General features: G+C 39.8%; 2 annotated features.

Moving 5' to 3' along the window:
* Positions 1,784 to 2,284: an enhancer, noted in NCBI's record as "H3K4me1 hESC enhancer chr4:155875070-155875570 (GRCh37/hg19 assembly coordinates)". NCBI's record gives its function as "activates a minimal SCP1, AML or CMV promoter by ChIP-STARR-seq in naive H9 embryonic stem cells {active_cell/tissue: H9 hESC(naive)}" and the evidence as "EXISTENCE:reporter gene assay evidence [ECO:0000049][PMID:30033119]".
* Positions 2,285 to 2,785: an enhancer, noted in NCBI's record as "H3K4me1 hESC enhancer chr4:155875571-155876071 (GRCh37/hg19 assembly coordinates)". NCBI's record gives its function as "activates a minimal SCP1, AML or CMV promoter by ChIP-STARR-seq in naive H9 embryonic stem cells {active_cell/tissue: H9 hESC(naive)}" and the evidence as "EXISTENCE:reporter gene assay evidence [ECO:0000049][PMID:30033119]".

The following is a 5,429-nucleotide window of genomic DNA, read 5'->3' on the forward strand; positions in this document are numbered from 1 at the left end:
CAAGCCTCAACTAAGGTTATAACTTAACTGCCAGTGTACGAGGTATTTTCAAAGAGGTGGTAAGCAGTTTTTAAAAAATCTAGAATCTTTAAAGGAGGCTCAGAGAAAGGAAGACTTAGGAAAGGAAGCTAGGAGTTGTTCACGGCGGGGAAGAGAATCAGCAAATGGTAAAAATCACACAGCTATTAACCAGAAAGTGGTACTCATTCCCTAAACCAGGATTGAACCTAGGCCACCACCGTAAAATGGCAGAGACCCAAAGAAATTACTGCCACATGGTTATAGGGTCAAGCCCTAAAGCTGTAAAACAAGATGGAGAGCTCATCCAGTTTTTGTCTGTTTGTTTGTTTCAGAGACCTGCAGCAACATTTGTTACTGACAAGTTTGTGGGCTAGCTTGGACAGTGGGCTTATGAGATCCTAGGCCCACATTCTAACCTAAGGTACTCCTCTTACTGAAAGAAAGATACAGAAAGACAAATTCTTAGCACAAAGTACAACAGATTCACTACAGCGTAAGACTAGCCTCACAGAACCTTTTTCTATTAATAAAAACTTTACAGTTTTTATTAATATAAACAGTGATTTTTACCATTAATTCAACCAGTTTGCACAGGGAGAGAGAGGCCAGAAGTCTGACTGGTAAGAACTTTTACCCTTTTTCTGGCATGTCAAGCTTCTGGGTTCCCTCTTTCCAGCTCAGTTTTTAAGCCAAGCAGTTTATGGTTTGGGGAAATTAAACTTTTCTCAGAGGGGAGTGTCTTGTGGTACAGAGACGTGATCACCCCTCCACAAAGATAGGACAGAGAAGGAAACAGGAAAAAAAAAAAGAAGGTTTTTTTTTTTTTTTTTTTTTTTCAAAGGAGTCCCAGTGATGCAGGATGCAGTCAAGAGAAGTACAGACTGAAGATGGTTGGTTTCTCATCTGGAAAGAGGAGAAAAAGGCATCCCTTAGGTCCTTTCTCTTTCCAGTGAATACCTGGGGTATGTGAAGGAGAGAGAGAAAAAATGGTGTTCCCTTTTTCTCTTCCATCTTTATATCCTTGAGTCCTGGTGACCTTGGCATGTGTTGCCCATGGGTGCCAATGAGGCTCTCACCCATGTAACAGGGAGGCCTAGAGGGTAGGAATTATCTGCACTCATCTACCTACTGGCCTATCCTCCCTGCTGTTGGTAACCTCATCTATGCTATGGATATGGGCATCACTTCTACCCATGAAATGGTGGGGGGGCGGGGGGTGCTAATTGTCAGTGACCAGTCATGCTCACCTGTGCTCTGCCCCTTGACTTTCATTGTCATCTGCTTTGGGATCACTCAGATCCAGTTTTTCTATTTAGGACTTCAATCTGAAGCTTGAAATTGAGTTTGGGACAAAAAGGTGCCTTGCAAGGGTGCATGGACTCATTAAGTCCCAGCTGGCCCTTGCCAAACTTGAAGCCAGCAACTGACAGGGCCACTCCTTCCCTGGTTCCTTATAATAAACCGAATGCTAAGGTAAATCTGTGGAACTGGGTCCTCCTCAAACAAGGGAGAGAAAAGGGAATCCCTGAGAATTGAGGAACTGGCTGGTAAGATGCCTTACAAAAGGAATAAAAAATCTTCTTGCATGGAAAACTCCCTGTATTTGCAGGGCTGTGTTAACTCCTGACATGGTGAAGGAAAGGTAAAAAAAAAAACAAAAACAAACCCAGCTTAATTGCAGGGAGGGGAAGGTGTCTGAGGGAAAAAGCCTCTTGCTCTTATGCAAATAGATTCTTTCAACAGGGGAAAATCTCTTAATCACTGTATCCTCCCTGAATCTAAGAATAGATGGTAACCACATTGTTCTGAATTACATTTTTTGTGATTAGGCTAAGTGCCCATTCTACCCAATAATATCTTTGTAGTTTGCAACAACACTCTTAACATTATAAAAGAAAAGATAGGTGTTGTGAGAGTCCCCAAAGAAAGAAGAAAAATGACATAGAAAAGACTGGATTTGGACAGAAACTGACATTCCCAACCCCCAAGAGTGATGAGGTGTTGGGGTGGCAGGGTCCTCTCCCACATCCTGTCCTCTGTGGCTGTGCCATTAGGCATTAACTGGCTAATCAGAGGTCTGGTAGTTCATTTGGCTTCAGAAAAATGTCTGAGGACAAGAAGCCTCAGGAAAAAAGAGAAGAGTCTAGGTTCACATTTACTCACCCTTTGGGGATCCCCAGGAGAGCCCCCAGAAATGACATAGGACTTTTCTTGGCCACTTTGCCAGCCAGGGACCTCCGGCTGGTGATGTCCCTGCCTGGGCCTCACTCATGCACACTACCTGCCACAGGAGGCACCCCGCCTACTTGGCCAAGTTTGGCTTGTGCACCAGCTCAGCCAATAGCTGGGCTGGCTGTGCCCCAGCCCACCTATGTTATAGATTATACCCATGTTCGGCAGTTCCTGAGCTCTTGTCCCATGTCCCAGAACAAGGATACACTAACAATTGAAGGATGAGGAGGGTGGAGAAGAATTTTATTGAGTGATGGAACAGCTCTCAGCAGAAAGGGGACATTGTAGTGGTTCCCCACCCCCACAGTTAGGTGGTTTCTCTCTCAATGTGGCTGAGTCTGGGGTTTTTATAGGCACAGGATGGGGGAGGGCCAGGCCATAGGTAGTATTGGATAAGGCAACATTTGATCGATTAAAAAGCATTATTCAGAAAGAACAAATCAAGAAAGGGTAGACAAACAGGAACAGAAGTTTTCACTCCAGGTCGCATTTCTCATCCAGAACAAGCAGTCCATTCTTTCAGCCTTCAGGCTGTTCCCAATTAAATCTTTTTCCAATTAAAGACTGGAGGAGGATGGGGTTTCACCAGGGACCTACCTCTATCTGCCTAAGCATTTGTGTGCCTCCTGCTGCTGTTACGTACTTGTTAGGAGTAAATTGTTTTTGAATGAAAGAGAGACCTCTAGATTTTTGGAATAAGATTTTTCCTGAAAATCTAAATCAAAGGTAGGTCAATAGGCCTTGAGCCAAAAGTCAAAGGTAGGTTGGAAGATTATGAAAGAAAGTAGTTGAATGGAAGCTGCTGCTGATTTCCTGGAGATACCCAGGTGTAATCAGGACCCAAGGGCCAGGAGAAATTAGTTTCAGTGGTGTTGGCAAATTTACTTGGGGAAGCTGTGCCTGGGGTGGAAGCACGGTAGCATTAAAATGGGAATATCAATTTCTTAGACACAGGGAGAGAAGGATTTAATCGGGAAGAGACTAAAGTTTTTCAAAAGCCTAGGTAAATTTTTTCAGCTGGCTGAAGAGTTTGTTTTTGTTTTTCCCTACAATTGCAATGCAAAAACAGCCACACATCAATAACAACAGCAAAAAATAATAATAAATAATAATTGAATCCCTTTTTTTGTTTTTTTACCCTTAAATACAATAAAATGTAATGATTTCTTGAACAATGTATGATGTTTGTTAGCATACAATGTCTTCAATATTTTATACAACTTTTTCTATAGGCTCAATGAAAGCCTGAGTCTGTTGGCTTAGGTGCTCTGACCATACCTTCAATGAAAGGCTCACTGAAAACAAACACAACAGCATTCCAGTGGTAGCATTTTTATAATCCTAATAGTTAGCAACAGACAATCAGAAATTCTTTTGTATCAATGACTAGGCAAAGGACAGATTAGGGAATCAAGCTCAGGTTTCATCTCTAAAGGTGAAAGATGAAGGTTTTGCTGGATGATATTTGTACTCTTTTAATATAAAGATAGGAAGCATATCTCAAATATTTTAGCTAATCCACGTGTCATCAATGTGTCTGATTATTTTATCAATGGTAGCCAATTTCTGAAATGCTAGTCAATAAGCCATAATTTTCAGTTATAAAATTATGTCTGACATCAGTATGATAATTACCAAAACATCCGTAGTTAATCAACATAGGATAAAATAAGTACTTATAATAGCAACCTCTACAGTATGGACCTTTTTGATGTAATGGGAATTGGCCACCCTGGACTGTGCACTGTTGATTAGGATAACTGCCCCTGGAGCTTAAACTTTAAGCTTTGACTAATGGCTACATATTATCACACAACCTGTGTGGAAGTACTTTAAGGTCCATTACAATGTAATCAACTGCAAACATTACAAGTAGTTCTCTTTGAGACTACTGTCTGAAGATGATGTAGTTCAAAGGGCCCCCCTTCTCTTTTTCTTCAACAGTAGAAGAGGAATCAACTCCGGTTTTTTTTAACTACAGAGACGCTTTGCTCATCCAGAAAAAGACTCCGTTGTCTTCCTCCGTGTAACTCTTTTGCCATAGATGTTGTGGAGTGTAAGAATGTAAACTGTTGCTTTTGCTGGGATGTCATCATTTTGCAAATCACAGAGGAAACTTGAGTCCCACAGGGAGAGTGGAACTTACGTAATAAAGCAACTGGTATTTTGTCTGATAGTTCCAGCCATGCCTTCCCATAGCAACTGTAATTCAGCATCTCTAAGAAAAATTGTGATTTTTGACAAGGAAGAAAATCAACATCCAATGTTATTTCTCAAGTAATTGCAAGATGTTAATACTTCATATTCACTCCATACACCACCATTTTTGGAAAAAACGTTCTGTGATTATTCTTTTGCTAAACTTTATGCATAATGAACACACAAAGGTAAGACATTTCCAAGACAATATTTTAAATAAGTACAGATCAATATAAGACTTTGTGTGTGCTCTAGATGTATAAGCTGCTTCTTCATGTTGTCCTTTGTATGTATCATGGTAAGATTTATAGCCACATGGTAAACAATGAACACTGATGTGGAGAAATGTTGCTTTTCCATTGGGTATTTTTCTCTCTCCATTTTTTATTAACCATAAACACCTTAGCATTTAAATTTTATTTTTTAATTTATTAAAAAATTAACATACAGTAAATGTCACCTTTTGGTATACAGTTCTATGAGTTTTGACAAATTCAGAAAGCCATCTTACCATCACCTAGATAATAACAGTTTCATCCCACAAAAAAATTTTCTCCTTGTCCTTTGTAGTCAAATCCTCTCTCTCTCCTTAGCTTCTGGTAAACATGAATCTGTTCTCCATCCTTTGTTTTTTTTTTCCAGACTATAATACAAATAGAATCATACTGGGTGGAGCTTTTTGGGTCTGGATTCTTTGGCTTACAAAATAATGCATTTAAGATTCAAGTATGTTAATGCATGAATCAATACACATCCCTTTTTGTTGCTGAGTAGTATTCCATTGTATGGATGTATCACAATGTTTTTTTACCCATTTGCTAATTGAAGGATTTGTGGGTTGTTTCCAGTTTTTGGCAATTATACATTATGATACGATAAATATTCACATACAGGATTTTGTGTGAACATAAATTTTTAATTCTCTTGGTAAATACTGAGGAGCAGAACTGCTGGGCCATATGGTAAGTGTATGCTTT

This window comes from Homo sapiens, chromosome 4 (assembly GCF_000001405.40).
Source record: "Homo sapiens chromosome 4, GRCh38.p14 Primary Assembly".
NCBI lineage: Eukaryota > Metazoa > Chordata > Mammalia > Primates > Hominidae > Homo > Homo sapiens.